Genomic DNA, 18,766 nt, shown 5'->3' on the forward strand with positions numbered 1-18,766 from the left:
ATCTATCTATCTATCTATCTATCTATCTATCTATCTATCTATCTATCCATTTACCTTATCTATCTATCTATCTATCTATCTATCTATCTATCATCTATCCGTCTACCTAATATATCATCTATCTATGTATCTATCTATCTAATCTATCATCTATATATCTATCTATTATCTATCTATCTATCTATCTATCTATCTATCTATCTATCTATCTATCATCTATCTATCTGTCTATCCTACTCCCTGCCATGGTTGGCCCAAGAGCATTTTAAATTATATAGATAATCTTTGCTAATCCTTCCTGCTTTTCCCGATAATTGTAGGGGAAAATGGCCAAGGAGGGGCCTTCAGTGGATACATACATAAAATAATTTAAAATGTTGACAAAAGGTAAATTCCCATGATCTAGAGACAGAGTGGTTCTTAATCTAGAGAGTGGTTCTCAACTCAGGCTGAACACTGTAATGACCCAAGGACCTTGAAAAATACCGATGCTTGGGTCTTTCCTGAGAGATTTTGATTTAATTGGTCTGGTTACATCCTGAGCATCAGGAGTTTTAAAAGCTCTCCAGGTGATTCTAATGCGGCCAGGCCTGAGAAGCACTGCTCTAGGGAGGATACTGACCTCTAGAGATGGAAGTGAAAGAGGTCATTGTTTATCTCTGACGGATCATAGACACTCTTGTCTTCGTATGTTTATTTATTCAGCAATACAGATTTTCCATCAGTTTTTTTTCCATTTAATAGACTTTATTTTTTAAAGCAGTTTTAGTTCACAGCAAAAGTGAGAAGGTACAGAGATTTCCCATATACCCCTCTCCCTATCCATGTATAGCCTCCCCTACTATCGATGGTCCCCAATAGAGTGGTGGTGCATTTGTTACAATCAGTGAACCTACACTGACACGTCGCTATCACCCAGAGTCCATAGTTTACATTAGGGTTCACTCTTGGTGCTTTGTAAATTCTGTGGGTTTGGACAAATGTATAATGATATGCATACACCTTATCACATCATGCAGAATAGTTTCACTGCCTTAAAAATCTTCTGTGCTCTGCCCATTTATCCTTCTCTCTCTTCTGGCCCCTGGTAACAACTGATTTTTTTAATAGTCTCCATAGTTTGCCTTTTCCAGAATGTCATATGGTTGAAATCATACTGTATGCAGCCTCTTCAGATTGGCTTTTTTCACTTAGAAATGTGCATTTAAGTTTCCTTCCCATATTTTTGTAGCTTGTTATCTCATTTCTTGTCTTTTCAGTGCTGAATAATATTTTCTTGTTTTGAGGTATCACAGTTTATCCATTCACCTATTGCTTCTAAGTCTTGACAATTACGAATAAAGCTGCTATAAACATCTATGTGCAGCTGTTGTGCGGATCTAACTTTTCAGTTCCTTTGGAAAGACACCAAGGAGTGTGATTGCTGGATCATACGGTAAAAGTGTGTTTAGTTTTGTGCAAAACTGCCAAACTGTCTTCCAAAGTAGCTGCACCATTTTGCATTCCCACCAGCAGTGAGTAAAAGTTCCCGTTGCTCCACTTTCCCACCAGCATTTGGTGTTGTCAGTGTTCTGGATTTTGACCTTTCTAATAAGTGTGTAGTATTATTAACTATTTATTTATTATTTGTTGGATTTTTTAAACTTTTATTTTATTCAGGGGTACATGTGCAGGTTTGTTATAGAGGTGAATTGCTTGTTGTAAGGAGTTGCTGTAAAGATTATTTTGGCTGGGCGTGGTGGCTCACGCCTGTAATCCCAGCATGTTGGGAGGCTGAGGCGGGTGGATCACGAGGTCAGGGGTTCGAGACCAGCCTGACCAACATGGTGAAACCCCATCTCTACTAAAAATACAAAAAAAAAAAAAAATAGCTGGGCGTGGTGGCGGGCGCCTGTAATCCCAGCTACTCAGGAGGCTGTGGCAGGAGAATTGCCAGTGAGCCGAGATCACGCCACTGCACTCCAGCCTGGGCGACAGAGCGAGACTCCATCTCAATAAAAAAAAAAAAAAAAAAGATTATTTCACCGCCTAGGTAATAAGCATGGTACCTGATAGGTAGTTTTTTGATTGTTACCCTCCTCCCACCCTCCACCCTCAAGTAAGGCCCATTGTCTGTTGTTCCCTCCTTTGTGTCCGTGTGTACTCAGTGTTCAGCTCACACTTGTAAGTGAGAACATGTGGTATTTGGTTTTCTGTTCCTGTGTTAGTTTGCTGAGAATAATGACCTCCAGCTCCATCCACGTCACTGCAAAGGACATGATCCCCTTCTTCTTAAGGCTGCAAAGTATTCCATGGTGTATATTATATGTACCACATTTTATTTATTCAGTCTACCATTCATGGGCATTTACACTGATTTGATTCCATGTCTTTGCTATTGTGAATAGTGCTTCAATGATCGTATGTGTGCATGTGTCTTTATGGTAGAATGATTTACATTCCTTTGGGTAGATAGCCAGTAATGGCATTGCTGGGCCAAATGGTAATTCTGTTTTAAGTTCTTTCGGGGGTCACCACATTGCTTTCCACAATGGCTGAGCTAATTTACATTCCCACCAGCAGTGTTTAATCATTGTTGGATTTAATTCCTACTTAAAAAGAATACATGCTAAATGCTCTCCAGACTTAAGTAGTGTTGTGTTTTTGGTATTATTTGTCTTTCGTCTACGTTTTCACATTAAAAAATGAAGTATACATGAAGCTTGAAACAACCGCACAGTTTAATGAATCACTGTAAGGCGAATGCAGGAAACCATAACCTGGTCAACCAGCACTTAGAAGCTCCTTTCATGCCTCGCCTGAAAAATAACTCCTGATTCTTTTGATAATCCATTTCTTGCCTTTAGAGTTCTGCCTATGCATGTATTCCTAAACAATCCAGTTGTTTCCTTGTATTTAAAAATTGTTTAGCTTTGTAGCTATAGTTTACTCATTACTGTAGGATGTTCCATTGCGTGAATATAACATAATTGACCCTCTCTATTGTTGATGGACATTTTTGTTGTTTGCATCTATTGGCTATTACGAATGATGTGTTTTGAACAGTCTCAGTGATGTCCCCTGTGCCCAAATGCACTAATTTCCTTGGAGCATATGTTCCTAGTGTGGCATTGCTGGATGATGCATATTTTCGACTTTAATACAAAATATAAATGGATTTCCAGATTGATTATACTAACTTAGCCCCACAAACAGTATATGAGAGGTCTCGTTGCTTTAAATATTCCATAGCACTGGTATTCCCAGTTCCGTAGTGTTTACCAGTATGGTGCGTGGGTAACAGTGTTTCCTTGAAGTTTTAATTTGAGTTTCCTCAATTAATAAAGAGACTCAGAATATGCAGCAAATGCTTCTGTTGCACTGTGTTACATCGCCTTGGCTCACCATCTGTTTCTTGGGTTTTATTTGCTGTTCCTTTTCTTACTCCTTGAGGTGTGTTCTCGGCCCATTCATTTCAGCCCTTCTTCCTTTCTATCTGTGTATTCAGGGCTGTGTGTTTCTTCCTACACACAGCTTTAACTGCAGCCTACAAGTTTTGACATGTAGCATTTCCATACACTTTCAGTTAGGTAATGTTTATTATCTAACTGATGATAATTTCTCAGGCACGTGCATTAGATCACATTTGTTTATTCATGATATTCATTTTTGCTGTCTTTTGGTCTGCCTGTTCTATCAATTACTGACAGAAAAATGTTAAAATTGTCCCATAAGTATTGTGGATTTTGCTTCATATAGTTTGAAGCCAAGTTATTGGATATATAGTAATTAAAAAGAGTTATATCACCTTGGTCATCCGAGCGTTGCATCATTGTGAGTGACCCATTTTAACTCAAGTAATGTTTTGTGCCTTCCACTCTTGTTGATTTTAATATATCAGCTTTATCTTTCTTGCTTGTTGCATGCTGTCTTTTTCCCATCCTTCAATGTTCAACCTTAGTATATCCCTATATTTTACATGTATCTTTTGTAAATAGCTTACAGCGAGATTTTTGTCTAATCCAACAGTTTTTATGCCTTTTAGCTGGAGTATTTAATTTATTTACATTTAATATAATTATTGACATATTTGGATTTTCCATTATTTTGAGCTTTGTATTTGTATTACCTGTTCTGTTTCCTTTTTTTCTCCCATCTTGATTTATTTTGGGTTTAATTATTTTTTTCCCTCTAATAGTTTGGAAATTGTGAACTCTGATTCTATTGCTTTAGTGGTCACTCTGAAACCACACAGCCATACTTCTTTGATAAGAATCTAGAATTAATCAATGCCTTTATCCTCTTCTTGGATAATACAAAGAGTTTAAACATGTTAATTATAATTATTCTCCTCCTGACACGAGTTAATATTGTCATATATTATAACTCTCTCATTTTAACACCATTAATTGTTATTATTATTCTTTTATAGGTAATGTTTACTTATCTTTGCCCATCTCAGACCTTCCATCTGGAATTGTTTTCCTTCTGCGGAAAGTACCTCCTTGAAAATTAATATAGAATTGGGAGTTAGCAGTTGTTTTCTTTTAGGACATTGAAGATTTCATTCCAACCACCCTTTGGCTTCCATTGTTGCTGCTGAGAAACCAGCTACTGGTCTAACTATCATTTCTTTGCTTTAAGATTTTTTTTCCTTGTCTGGTATTCTGCATTTTCACTATAGATATGGATTTATTTTTATTTACTCTTTGTGGGAATCATTGGACTTCTTGAATTGCTGATACTTCCAAGGCTGTCTTTTATAATTTGAACTTAGGGAGCGTGGGCGTCTTGGAATCTGTATCTGAAGTCTTGCGAGTCTGTTTTGTCATTTGTTATTCTTCTCCACAGTGCCTTGTGACCTTGTGTGGTTGACTTCCTTTGACTGGGCGCTGATCATTGCTCTTAAAATTATTTGTGGGATTCCCTGAGGCCTAGGATGAAAGTGCCTGCCTTCAGCTCTGAGGTCCACTCCCTAGACATGTAGGTGCACTACCTTTTGGTACGCTTCAGCTTCACAGCTTGAGGTTTCTTGGAATGCTCCAGTGTGGTGGATCTGGGCTTCAAATCTGCCAAGCACCTGCCCACTTTTGGACATATTTTCTCCTTTCTTGTTTTTTTATATTGCACTAAGCACCAAAGGCAGCATTCTTCACAGCTGTTTGTGGGTGAGAGGAAAGAAGCAGGCTCACCCCAGCCCTTATTGTGGAGCTGTGTATGGTTGCAATGAATGTGCTAGGAGCCTAAAAGACTCACAAACTTTGGTGGGTCCTGAGTTTTAATTTCTGTCCCTCCCAACTCTGTGAATCTATCAAAACACAGCTTAATCTTGCAATCTGGACTGGCTGAAGGTAAAGGGGATCAAGCATTTCATTGACTTCTCTGGGGTCTTGCTTTCCTTTAGGTCTAGGCTTGGTCATTCATCACTATGTTGTCAACTCTTCATGCGTATAAGAAAATGTAAAAAACATTTAGACAGCATTTTAAATTATTTCCAGAAGATTATTGATCTCAACAATTTAGCCCAGTATTGTTCAAGAGTATGTTCTGTGGGGATGGAAATGTTCTGTATTTGAGCTTTCCAATATGGTAGCCACTGCCTTCTGTGGCTATTGAGCACCAAAAATGTAGATAGCACACCTGATGAATTAAATTTTTTATTTTACTTGATTTAAAATTTACATAGCCACATGTGATTGTGGCTACCATATTGGACAGTGCAGCTCTAGTCCATAAACAGTTACCAGAAACAAGAATGCTTTTATTCTTTAGATTTCCTTTGGTTGAGCAGATAACTGTCTGCAATGCATCTAGCCCAGCTCCCAGAATCTTGGTGAAACATAGAGGTATTTTTGGGTTTACTTAAATTTCCTATTCATATAGTAAGGCTGTATACTTTATATAAAACATAAAATTTTTGTTTTATTAAAAAATTATTAATTAGTTAATTTATTTAGAGACATGGTCTTGCTCTGTCATCCAGGCTGGAGTGCAGTGGCATGGTCATAGCTCACTGTACCCTTGAACTTCTGGGATCAAATGATCCTCCCACCTCAGCCTCCCAAAGCACTGGGGGAAAAACGTCGTTTTAAGTATCACCATAATGAGTAGGTAGAATGCCGTTTCTTAAGATGAGTCACTTAAGCATAGGAGAGATACATACTTTATGGATCTTTTTGGTCACAAACTTTAATACAATAAACTACAGTTTGCTTGTCATTCCAAGGCCAACCTCAACAACGTAAGCCCTGTACTTAGTCTTAGAGAAATATTTATCTAGATGAATAAAAAAAGCAAAGCAACAAAAACATGAATGGAGTAATTTTCCACCTGGCTGGCTGCTTCCACACCTCTCACCCGCTGCAGGCAGCAGTAGGTGTGTGGAGGAGGGCGACGACATGTCCCGCAGCAAGAGTGTCTACCCCTAATAGTCTCACAAAACTCTGTTGCTTCTTGCTGGGAGATGAAAACAGCTTGAGGACAGGGTTTTTGTCTCATGTGTTTGTTCCACTCTGCAGAACCAAGCTTCGAACTGTACTTCATGCACTACGATGGCACAGAAAAGATTTTCTGGGTGAAACCATTTTGGTGCCATTGTCTTGTAATTATTAGGAAATCAAAAACAGCACAGAATTATTATTTCCTCCAGTATTCTGGAGGATCCTACACTTTGCATCACAGCAGCTGGCTTTGTCTTGGCTACAGCCTCCTCCCTTCTTGTTTCTCTGGTAACAAATGCTCACCTCTGTTGACAGGGTGATCCAGGGCTGGCCAATCAGAGTGCCTCACTCCCGGCTCCCTGACCCTGGAATTGTTCATGGATGGCAGCAAGCCCAGATCAGAGTCCTTCTTTGAGGCTGTTCTTACCAGAATCTCAGGAGGCCCTACATGCGTCTCTCGGGGAGCCACAAGAGTGGGGGCCAGCTGCTTTACCCTGTAGTCCTTGCCATTTGGAGAAGGCCTCTCAGTAGGAGAAGAGAAGGACACCAAGCAGGGAGGCGAGAGGTGTGGGTGATGGCAGAGGGGGTCCCACTGGTGTCTGGTCCCCAGTTCCCGTCGCTGAGGCCCCCGGAACTGGCCAGGTTCTCTAGTTCTTCCAGCTCTTTGAACTCTGCTAGTATCCTTTCAACAAGTTAATTTTCTGTTATAAATGATCCTTAATTGGGTTTCTGCCACTTGCAACAAATATCTTTTATCCTAAATTGTTAAAATGAAAAGTGTGTGTGTTGGGGGCACATTTTCAGGGGAAAGAAAATTCCCACCAGCTTTGGAATCAGCTGAGGTGGGTAAGTATATTCTTCCCCATGTTCTTCCAGCACTATTCTTTTGTCCCTCTGTTTCTTCAATAGTTTTTAGTGGACATTATCCTACAATTCAAATACCAAATGCATTTCTCATCCAAGATGAGCTGTGTCACCAATGAACAAGAAGAGCACCAGCATTGTGATTTTTTTTTTAAACAGAACTTTCAGGGTACAGAAAATAACACCACCCTGTCCAAATTTAGGGCCACACTGTCATCGAGGGATAATCAGTGTTTTTGGTTTTTTTTTTTTTTTTTTTTTTGAGACGGTGTCTCGCTCTGTTGCCCAGGCTAGAGTGCAGTGGCACGATCTTGGCTCACTGCAACGCACTCTGCCTCCCAAGTTCAAGCAATTCCCCTGCCTCAGCCTCCTGAGTAGCTGAGACTACAGGCATGGGCCACCACAACTGGCTAATGTTTGTATTTTTAGTAGAGACGGGGTTTCGCCATGTTGGCCAGGCTGGTCTCGAACTCCTGGCTTCGTGATCCACCCACCTCTGCCTCCCAAAGTGCTGCAATTACAGGCATGAGCCACCACACCTGGCCTAGTTGTTGTTTTCATTTGCCCAAGACATACTGTTCTGTTCCTCCCCTCAGTCCCTCTGTCTGCAAGTGAAACATTGTCTTTTTAACCTAAATACAAGAAACATGATTAGAACTCAATATATTGACATGTTCACCAAAAGTTCATGGCAGCACATTTCATACTAGCCCCAAATGGGAAACAATCCAAATGATATAATGGATATATTGTCATTTGTTCAGTGGGATACCACACGGCAAAGAAAAGGAATGAACCAGCATCACATACACCAACGTGGGTGAATCCCACAAACGTGGTTCAGAGTGGAAACCAAACAGAGAGAATAAAATGTGTTTACATAAAGTCCCCAAACAGGCAAAACTAATCAATGGTATTGGAAGTCTTGACTATGGTCATTGTCCCTAACCTGTGAGAGGAAGTGAGTTGGAGGAACTTGCAGGGACGAGGTGGGGAGGAGGGCTTCTGGGCTGCTGACCACGTTCCATGATGTGATCTGGGCAGTTACCCACGTGTGATTGCTTAGTAAGAATATATCAGTTTGTGTGCTTACAACTTGTGAACTTTTCTGCATGTGACTTATGAATAAAAAAGTCTGAAATAAAACCAATACTCTGGAGGGAAAAATACCATAAGGAATGAGGAGTGCCTGGGAAAAGCTCCCTGTGAACTACTCAGACATTCGCTAAGGAGAAAGCAAATGCAAGTTGGATGGGATAGTGGCTAAACGGAACTCATAGGGGAGAAATTATTGGCATTGAGAGGATGAGTTCTTTCTCTGGACTCCCTTGGAGCTTTGATATTGGCCTGTCATTAGAATTTGGGTGGCAAGCCTGCCTTATGATAAAGACTGAAGTTCTTCAAAGGATCTCCATATAACTCAGCCTTTTGCTAAACTTCTAAAAAATGAACAATTAATCAGTTCATCAACTCTCAGAGATCGTAAAAGCCAAAATGATTTAGATAAAGCAGGAAAATCAGAGCAGAGGAGACAGTTATGGCATATGAGAAACCTGTTCACTACTCAAGTTGGCCCTGACATCAGGCCAGGAATACAGAGCAAGGTTCGCCATTGTTCTGCCCACCAAATGCTCTTTTCTAGTCCTAATGCAAACTGATGGTCTCTACTTAGACCTGAGGCACAAAGAAAACATTTCAGGGCTGGGCAGTGGCTCATGCCTGTAATCTAGAACTTTGGGAGGCTGAGATGGGTGGATTGCTTGAGCCCAGGAGTTCGAGACCAGCAATGGGTCACATGGAAAAATCCCATCTCTACAAAAAAATACAAAAATTAGCCAGGCGGGTTGGCACGCATCTGTAGTCTCAGCTGCTTGGAGGGCTGAGGTGGGAGGGTCACTTGAGCCCAGGAGGTCGAGGCTGCAGTGAGCTGTGATTGTGCTACTGTACTCCGGCCTGGGTAACAGAGCAAGACCCAGTCTCAAACAAACAAACAGAATATTTCAGAAGGGTCTTCTACTCCCTATGCAAACTGCTAAGCCAGCAAGTCCCACAGGGGTACAGATGGAAGGGGCCTCTGCTAATCCCTGAGGGAAATGTCAGCTGGGGTTTTTATTACAAAGTTAGCATATACTGGGGAGCTTAGAAACAAGAGAAACGTGTTTCTCACAGTTCTGGAGGATGGAAGTCCGAGATCAGGATGCTGGCATGGTCAGGTTCTGATGAGGGATTTCTTCCAGGTTGCAGACTATCACCTTCTTGCTGTAGCTTCTCATGGTGGAAGGGGCAAGGCAGCTTTCTGGGGGTCCCCTTTATATGGCGCTAATCCCATGCATGAGGGTTTGACCCTCATATCCTAGTTACCTCCCATAGGCCCCACCTCCTAATACCATCAACTTGGGGACTAGGTTTTAGCATCTGAATTACCGGGGAGAGCACACAAACATTCAGACCTCAACAGGAGGCGAGCCTCTTGGCCCCCCTGCTAGCATCCATCTGCAGCTGGGCACCCTGTCTGGTTCTCCAACGTCACTTGTACAAAATAGCGCACTCCTTCCCTCCAGCAGCTGCTCCTCTTCTTCCTCAGACCCCCCGCCTCAAATCAGGGAATCCTCAAGATTCATGGAATTGACCACTGGGTTGCATTGTCAGCTCCTATCTCCCTGTCCTCCACCCAATTAGTCACCAGACTCACCCCTCGCCTCATCTCAGGAATAGTGGTTCTCATCCTCAGCCCATGCTCAAGCCCCTGGAGAGCTTTGGAGTCACAGACACCAGAGACTCTGTTCTGGGGGGTGTAGCATGGGCCTTCATACCTTAGACGTCCTCCAGGTGATTCTGATGTGCAGCCCAGGCTGAGAACCTCCACTCTGCAATCAGCCTCTTTCTCTGCACTGCTGGGCTGATGGTCCTCATTTCCTCCCTCATTCTCTCTCCTCCACACTACAGTTTCCTAACTGATCTGCATATGTCCAGTCTCCCTATTCTTGTTCGCTTGTCCTGACCTGTTGATATCCTAATTTAAACTCTAACCCTGATGTTCAAAACTTTCCAAAGGTCAGTTTCTGCCCACCTTCTCAACCTCCCCTTGCTCTGCCCACCCCATGCACCCACACCTGTAGGTACACAGGTCTGATCCCCTTTCATCAACCTGCTGCACCTTCCTGTTGAAGCTCTCCTCTGTCGACACCCAGTCGGATCTCCACACCTCTGGGAAAGCTTCCTGGATCATTCAATTATGTAACAAATCTCTTCCTTCTCCACTTCCTTACAGCATGTGTTAAAATTTTTTTTTTTTTAGTATTTAAAAAATAGAGGCAGGGTGTCACTATGTTGCCTTGGCTGGTCTCAAACTCCTGGGGTCAAGTGATCCTCCTGCCTCCCAAAGTGCTGGGATTACAAGCATGAGCCATCACACCTGGCCAAACACAGCACATTGCTAATGTCCAGGAAATACAGTCTGCCCTGCGTTCCGTATATTTATGGATTTGGGCCCCATCCACTGCATATGATAAACGACCTTGCCTCCTCTGAATCTAGAATGGCAATGAAATTCCACTCATGGGAGAATTGAGAAGTAGCTGCTCAAATAATTCTTTATTCTGTAGTTCAGATGAAGAACCTTTTTTTTTTTTTTTTTTAATGGAGTCTCCCTCCGTTACCCCGGCTGGAGTGCACCGCCGCCATCTAGGCTCACTGCAACCTCCGCCTCCTGGGTTCAAACAATTCTCCTACTTCAGCCTCCCATGTAGCTGGGATTACAGGTGCATGCCACCACGCAGGGATAATTTTTGTATTTTTAGAAGAGATGGAAGTCTTTCTTTATTGTGGATGTCCTGTGACTTTGAAATAAATGAAATAGTCTATTCTGAACCTGAATTCTAGAGGCAATGGGATTTGAATCAGTGTTGGAACATTCTTTCCATACCCTTTTCCCCTTTTGTTACTCCACTCTAAAGACTACCAGGTAAAAATATTCCATTTCACCAGCTCCTTTGCAGCTAAAGGGCTCTTCACACAATTCTGGCTGATGAGATATAGGCAGAAGTCCCTGGGGGAGGATTCTCCTGTGCTTTTCCTCTTCTGTCTTCCTGAAATGTAGATGTAATAGCTGGAGGAGCAGCAGTCATCTTTTCGCCTTTAGAATCACATGACGATGATGATGATGAAGCTGAAGACAGTAAACACCTTATGAGCAGCTTTGTTGGCTTTGGACTTTTACCCTTAAACTCGATGTTATGTGAGAAAATTAACCTTGTTACTTGTTGAAGCTATCCTTTGTCAAGTTTTCTGTTTTTGCAAAAAAAAAAAGAAAGAAAAAAAAGAAAAGAAAAAAGCCTTATATCTTTATATCTCCATACTCTCTCACACACTTGGGAGAGTGTTCTTAAACTAGTCTGCTTTAAGTTCATGCATTAGAAACAAAGGTGCACTCTTAACAGCAATAAGATAATTAACAAGTCTTTTATTTCCTGCAGCTCATTTTCCTTTTACCTCTTATAAATCTCTTGCACTCATTAAAAGAACCTGCTGAGAACTTATTATCAGCTGAGCTCTGGACATAGCATAGTGAGCTGGCCACACAGCATCACTGGCAGTGGTATGCTGATAAATGCTTGAGGGTAAGGAGACCTGGTTTGAGCATTTGTCAATTTCTGTGATGTAAACACTCCCACCATGGTTGAGCCTCCAACAGAGACCTCGCTGAAGGGAGATTTAGGAAGAGATGTTCTCAATTGGTTCTTGGGAGTCCTGGGAGCCGGCTGCACTACCCTCTGAAGACAGTGCCCCAAGAGAGCAGACCAGGGCCCTTGCTAAAATCATTTTCTTAAGGGTAAGCCTTAGAGTATAGCTTATCTATTGTATGTTGCCTTTGGCTCTTAACCATTCTCCTTGGGATCTTGATTACACTATTAATTTGCTTAGCAAACACTTCCCTCAGAGTATAACAAAATATACTGTGAGATAAAAGTCTTCTGATGGCTACATGCATCTCCAGGGCAAATAGCTAGGAAGGTGAGCAGGTTTGGTCATAGGTCAGTGACTTTTCTTTCCTTTGAATTCCCCAAAAGTCTTGGCAAGAGCTCCATAGCTTTCCCATTTTCTTTTTTTGTGTGTGTGTAATGCAGGTTATGAGACATACCATCCTCACTCTAATTTATATTTTGGGGGGAATTTAATAGATCCATTTTCTTTTTCATAGAGTTATGTTTGATCATCAATCCAGGATCATCAATCCTGGGCTGATCTGGTGTGTTCAGAATTAAGATGAATTATTTCTACCATTAATCAGCTATTAATAATATAACATTTCCTTTTGCTGAAGTTTGTATAAAGAATTCTCTTACCAGGGAGCATCTGAGCCATAAGAAGCCTGCCACTCAGTGTTGCCAAAGGCAGACTTTTAGTGATGCTAACTAGGGTGCCTCCCCTCTGTGGGTCTTCACCTTCCCCAATCCCACCCACCTGCTTGATATCTTAGAACTTGCCTATCCTCATGGGTTGACCTGGTGAGAGCCTGATTATGCTCACATAAAGTCACAACTTCACTAATTAGGCCCCAATAACTAGAGATTTGTTATACCTCAATGTGTTTAGCTCACGCTTTTTGTTATACTCTGAGGGAAGTGTTTGCTAAGCAAATTAATAGTGTAATCAAGATCCCAGGGAGAATGCTTAAGAGCCAAAGGCAACATACAATAGAATATAACATACAATAGAATATAATTGATCATTTAGATAAATAGCATAGGATCTTTCCTGAGAAACATCTTTTTAGGCAAATAATCTCAGATATTTGATAGACCTAGAAATCATAAAGACCTTCTTTGGTTTGAGTTTTGATATAGGTTGGATTTGTGTCCCTGCCCAAATATCATGTCAAATTGTAATCTCCAGTGTCGGAGGGGAGCCTGGTGGGAGGTGATTGGATCATGGGAGCAGAGTTCCCCCTTGCTGTTCTCATTGATAGTGAGTGTGTTCTCACAAAATCTGGCTGTTTAAAAGTATGTAGCACCTCCCCATTTGCTCTCTTCCTCCTGCCATGTAAGATGTGCCTGCTTACCCTTTGACTTCTGCCATGGTTGCAAGTTTCCTGAGGCCTCCTAAGCCATGCTTCCTGTACAGCCTGTGGAACTGTGAGCCAATCAAACCTCTTTTCTTTATAAATTACCCAGTTTCAAGTATTTCTTTATAGTATTGTGAGAACAGACTAATACAAATGTGCTCCCCCAAAGTTTATGTGTTAGAAACTTAACCCCCAACTGCAAAGTGTTGGGAGATGGAGCCTAATAAGAGGTGATTAGGTCCTGAGGGATCTGCCCTCATGAGTGGATTAATGTTGTTATCATGAGAGTGGTTAGTTATTGTGAAAGTGGGTTGTTATAAAAGCAAGTTTGGCCCCCTTCCCCCTCTTGCTCTCTTGCTCTCACCCTCTCTTGCCCTTCTGTGTCCCACCATGGGATGACACAGCACAAAGGCCCATACCAGATGATATTGCCATGTTTTTGGACTTCCCAGCCTCCAGAACCATAAGCCAAATACATTATTTTCCAGGAATTATTATCTTTATTCGACATTTTTTGTTTCAATTTTCTTTTTTTTCTTTTTTATTATACTTTAAGTTCTGAGATACATGTGCAGAACATGCAGGTTTGTTACATAGGTATACATGTGCCATGGTGGTTTGCCGCACCCATCAACCCGTCATCTCCATTAGGTATTTCTCCTAATGCTATCCCTCCCCTTGCCCTCCATCACCCGACAGGCCCCAGTGTGTGATGTTCCCTCCCTGTGCCCGTATGTTCTCATTGTTCAACTCCCACTTATGAGTGAGAACATGTGGTGTTTGGTTTTCTGTTCCTGTGTTAGTTTGCTGAGAATGATGGTTTCCAGCTTCATCCATGTCCCTGCAAAGGACATGAACTCATTCTTTCTTATAGCTGCATAGTATTCCATGGTGAATATGTGACACATTTTCTTTATCCAGTCTATCCTTGCTTGGCATTTGGATTGGTTCTAAGTCTTTGCTATTGTGAGTAGTGCTGCAATAAACATATGTGTGCATGTGTCTTTATAGTAGAATGATTTATAATCCTTTGGGTATATACCCAGTAATGGGATTGCTGGGTCAAATGGTATTTCTGGTTCTAGATCCTTGAGGAATCGCCACACTGTCTTCCACAATGGTTGAACTAATTTACACTCCCACCAACAGTGTAAAATTGTTCCTATTTCTCCACATCCTCTCTAGCATCTTTTGTTCCTGACTTTTTAATTATTGCCATTCTAACTGGGTGCTGAACCTACCACAGCGCAGCAAAGCCACTGTAGCCAGACTGCCTCTCTAGATTCCTCGTCTCTGGGCACGGCATCTCTGAAAGAAAGGCAGCAGTCCCTACCTGGGGAAGGGGCAGCTGTGGGCGTAGCTTCAGCAGATTTAAATGTTCCTGCCTGCTGGCTCTGAAGAGAGCAGCAGATCTCCCAGCACAGAGCTCGAGTTCTGCCAAGGGACAGACTGCCTCCTCAAGTGGGTCTCAGAGCCTTGTGCCTCCTGACACCTCCCAGCAGTCGTCGACAGACACATACAGGACAGCTCTGGCTGGCATCTGGCGAGTGCCCCTCTGGGACAAAGCTTCCAGAGGAAGGAGCAGGCAGCAATCTTTGCTGTTCTGCAACCTCCTCTGGTGATACCCAGGCAAACAGGGTCTGGGGTGGACCTCCAGCAAACTCCAGCAGACCTGCAGAAGAGGGGCCTGACTGTTAGACGGAAACAGAAAGCAATAGGATCAACATCAGCATAAAGGGTGCCCAGGCAAAAACCCCATCAGAAGGTCACCAACATCAAAGACCAAAGGTAGATAAACTTCTGTTCATCAAAAATTACCCTGTCTCAGGTATTCTGTTAGAGCAGCAGAAAATCAATTCTAACAAAGCTAGACTTCTTTTCGGATTATTCTATAATCCGGATTGGTGTGACTTCACCCGAAATTGTGTGAATGAGAACTATGAGTATACTTCAAAGGATTTTTCAGATGCAGAATTATATTTTATAAAGATTTTATTAGTTTTTAAGTCTTAAACAAGATATATAATCTTTTCAGATGATTCCAACTTAAATATGGGTGACTTGCTAATCAATTCACTTCTGTTGTTTAGTTTTCTTAAATTTAAAAATAGCATTTATCTGCCCACATAAAGACTTGACCATATGTGTTCATAGCAGTTTTTATTTACAGTTATCCAAATCGGAAACAATTTAAATGTCCATCCACAGAAAAATAAAGTTTTATTATGTTCACCCAATGAAATGCTGCTTACCAATGCAAAATGAACAAACTAATGATACAAGCAACGTGGATAAATCTCAAAAATATTATGCTAACCAAAAGAAGCCAGATATAAAAGTATCCATGCTATATAATTTCATTAATAAGAATCCTAGAAAAGTTTAATCTTACCCTACAGTGGAGTGGGAAGAGGACAGGGTCCCAAGCAGATGCCCAGGAAGCAAAAAAAAAAAAAAAAAAAAGGCTCTATTAAACTAGACACATTTTGATGTGCAGTTCCAGACCTTGGTGCCTACCCTGATATCACATGAAATGCTGAAATGCTGTGCATGTGCATGGAGGTATGAGCAGTGATATTCTAAAGCATTATTTTTAATGATAAAAACAGGTTTTAAATGTCCATCAGTAGGGGAAGACTAAATACCCCAGATATTGTACATCTGTGTTGTGGAGCCCTCTGCAGTATTTACAAAGAATTAGATGGAATGCCCTTGGGAGAAAAAAAATGTAAGTTGTAATAAAGCTCTATATTTTATAAATTTATCTAAATGTGGAGGGAATGGTCTGAAGAGAATCATACCATGTGATTATTTTAAGTGACCCTGTAAGGAAGGGACAACGATTTGGGGCAGGAGTCGGGGGGTCAAATGTCTTCTTTTGTTAAGACACAGCTATTATGAATACTGCTGTGATGAAAATACAAATGCATGATGTCTTTTTGGTATAACGGTTTATTTTCCCATTGGGTACAGATGGACATAAAGATGGCAACGTTTGATACTGAGGACTGTAACCACCTGATGGGATCTTCCTGCCTGCTGCATAAAGAAATGTTAGCAGCAGTGAATCTGTATGGTTCTGCAGCCACTTCAGTTCTTGACTCCTCAGAAGAAAGAATTTGACTGAGGGGCATAAGGCAGAGGGAGAGACCAAGGCAAGTTTTTTAGAGCAGGAATGAAAGCTCATTAAACAGTTTTAGAGCAGGAATGAAAGGAAGTCAAGTACACTTGGAAGACAGGCAAACAGGTCACTTGAGAGGTCAAGTGCACTGTTTGACTTTTGACTTGGGGTTTTATACCTTGGCATGCTTCCAGGGTGTTGTGTCCCTTCTCCCCTAGTTCTTCACTTGGGGTGTGCTGTCCACATGAGCAGTGGTCTCCCAGCCCTTGGGAGGGGCTGTATTTGCAGTGTGTTTACTGAAGTCGTACACATGTTCACTTGAGGCATTTTTCCCTTTGCCAGTTGAATGTTCGTAGAGGAAGGTCATATAGCAATTAAGCTCTGCCATTTTTCCTCTTATTGTGCATGCTTGAGCCCACTTGCCCAACTCCTGAGATCTTACTGGGGAGCTGCTGATCACCAGTTTCAGGTGTTTCTGTTGGGAGACTGCCTTTCCCTGGTGCCAGTTGTGACTAATTATTATATTATTTTAGAGAGACAGTTTAACAACCACCTAACCATCACCTGATGGTCACCTGACATTCTTGGTTGTGGGGGCCCTCTCCTGCCCTGCTCATGTGTGACTAACTACCTACCATAAAACATCCCCCCCTTAAGAGTCCAAGATCCCAATTCTTTGGGGGAAAGATGGTTAGTCTTCTATAACTGCTTCCTGCTGACAGAGGACTGGTGGTGGTTGTTCTGTAGGTCTTGGCCTCTTGCTAGCTGTCCTCCTGCATGCTGAATCACTTATGTGTGGGGGCCACAGGAGTGGGGTTGGTGGGTCTAGGTGGTGTCATGGGTGTCAGACTTGCAAAAAATCTGAAAAGATATCTCAAAAGGCCAAGCTACAATAGTGATGTTATTTGCAGGAGTAATTGAGGAAGTTGCATAGTTTCTAACCTCTGGAATAATGGCTGGTAATCGTTTCTGTCTGTACCTTAGCAGGTCTCAGGCTCCTTTCCTCCCCACAGCCTAATGGCCTGCTATTAGCTTTACAAAAGTGATTGAGTTCTGGGCAAGGCTTCTTATCATTTAAATGATAGCCTAAATGTCTTTCAAAGTTAGCTCAGCCCAGTAGCCCAGGAATAATTAAGGGAAAGGCAAGATGGGTGGTGGGTTAGCTCAGCTCACTGTTATAATTGCTCTCCTGATATAATTTTTGCAAAGGCAGTTTCAGGACTATTTAGGGGGGATGGAGGGGAGCAAGGGCTCAAAAGCAATCAGCTGCTATGCTCACTACCTGGGTGATAGGATTTGTGCCCCAAATGTCAGCATCACACAATATACCCATATAACAAACCTGCACATGTACCCCCTGCACCTAAAATAAAAGTTGAAATTTTTTTTTTTTGAAAAGGACAGTCTTTGTCATAAACTTCCTGGGGCTCAAATCCAAGCTTTGCCTTCTACTGTGTGACTTCGTGCAAGTTATTTCATTTATTTGGGCCTTAAATTCCTCATCTCTAACATAAGGATAAAATAACATTACCTATGTGTTATAAAACCATTGAGCAAAGTAAAAAAAAAAATAATCAGAAAGTGCTTCTAGGAGGCTTGCATAGACTAAAAACTCCACAAATGTTAGCTATTATATTGTGAGTGGTGAGCAAAAACGACTTCAGTTTTATGTAAAGTGTCTGAATTTTATACCGTGAGACTGTATTTTCAATGTATTATAAGTGTAATTAATAATAATAATTTTAAAAATAAATAGATAAAGTAACAGAAGTAGAAATGCAGATGACTCTGTCAAGAAGTTTAAAGAAAAGAAGGGGAAGAAAGGCAGCTCAGGGAAAAGAAGTGAAACATCTCCATTTAAACATAATGTGCTTCACACGTGTTCACAAGTCTGCACTGTGGGTTTAAGTTCTAAGCTCAATACCAGCTAGTTGAGTAACATCAACCCTTAAAACTCACTGCTTTACTGATAATGCAAATGACCTGGAGAGACATAAAATAGGAGCAGAAGTTTACCTTAAAAATCACAAATTGATGTCCATGTCTTAAGAGAAATTTATCAACATAACTAGAAAGCAGTTGAAGCCAAGAACTAAAGTGCCCTGTGAAAAAAATAAAGCATGATTTGCACAGTTCCCAGGTTCAGAATACATGGGCAAGCTAGATGGCAAGACCAGGGAAAACTCTGGTGGACACTAAATTAATTGCTGGCTGGCCACGCTTCTATGACACCAAGAGATATATCTAAGCCCCTACCACACATCCACCTGCAGTGCCAACAGAGGATGCTGGGTGGCA

General features: G+C 41.5%; 1 annotated feature.

Moving 5' to 3' along the window:
* Nucleotides 17,042-17,853: an enhancer, noted in NCBI's record as "OCT4-NANOG-H3K27ac-H3K4me1 hESC enhancer chr21:41079003-41079814 (GRCh37/hg19 assembly coordinates)". NCBI's record gives its function as "activates a minimal SCP1, AML or CMV promoter by ChIP-STARR-seq in naive H9 embryonic stem cells {active_cell/tissue: H9 hESC(naive)}" and the evidence as "EXISTENCE:reporter gene assay evidence [ECO:0000049][PMID:30033119]".

Source organism: Homo sapiens, chromosome 21 (genome assembly GCF_000001405.40).
Source record: "Homo sapiens chromosome 21, GRCh38.p14 Primary Assembly".
Lineage (NCBI taxonomy): Eukaryota > Metazoa > Chordata > Mammalia > Primates > Hominidae > Homo > Homo sapiens.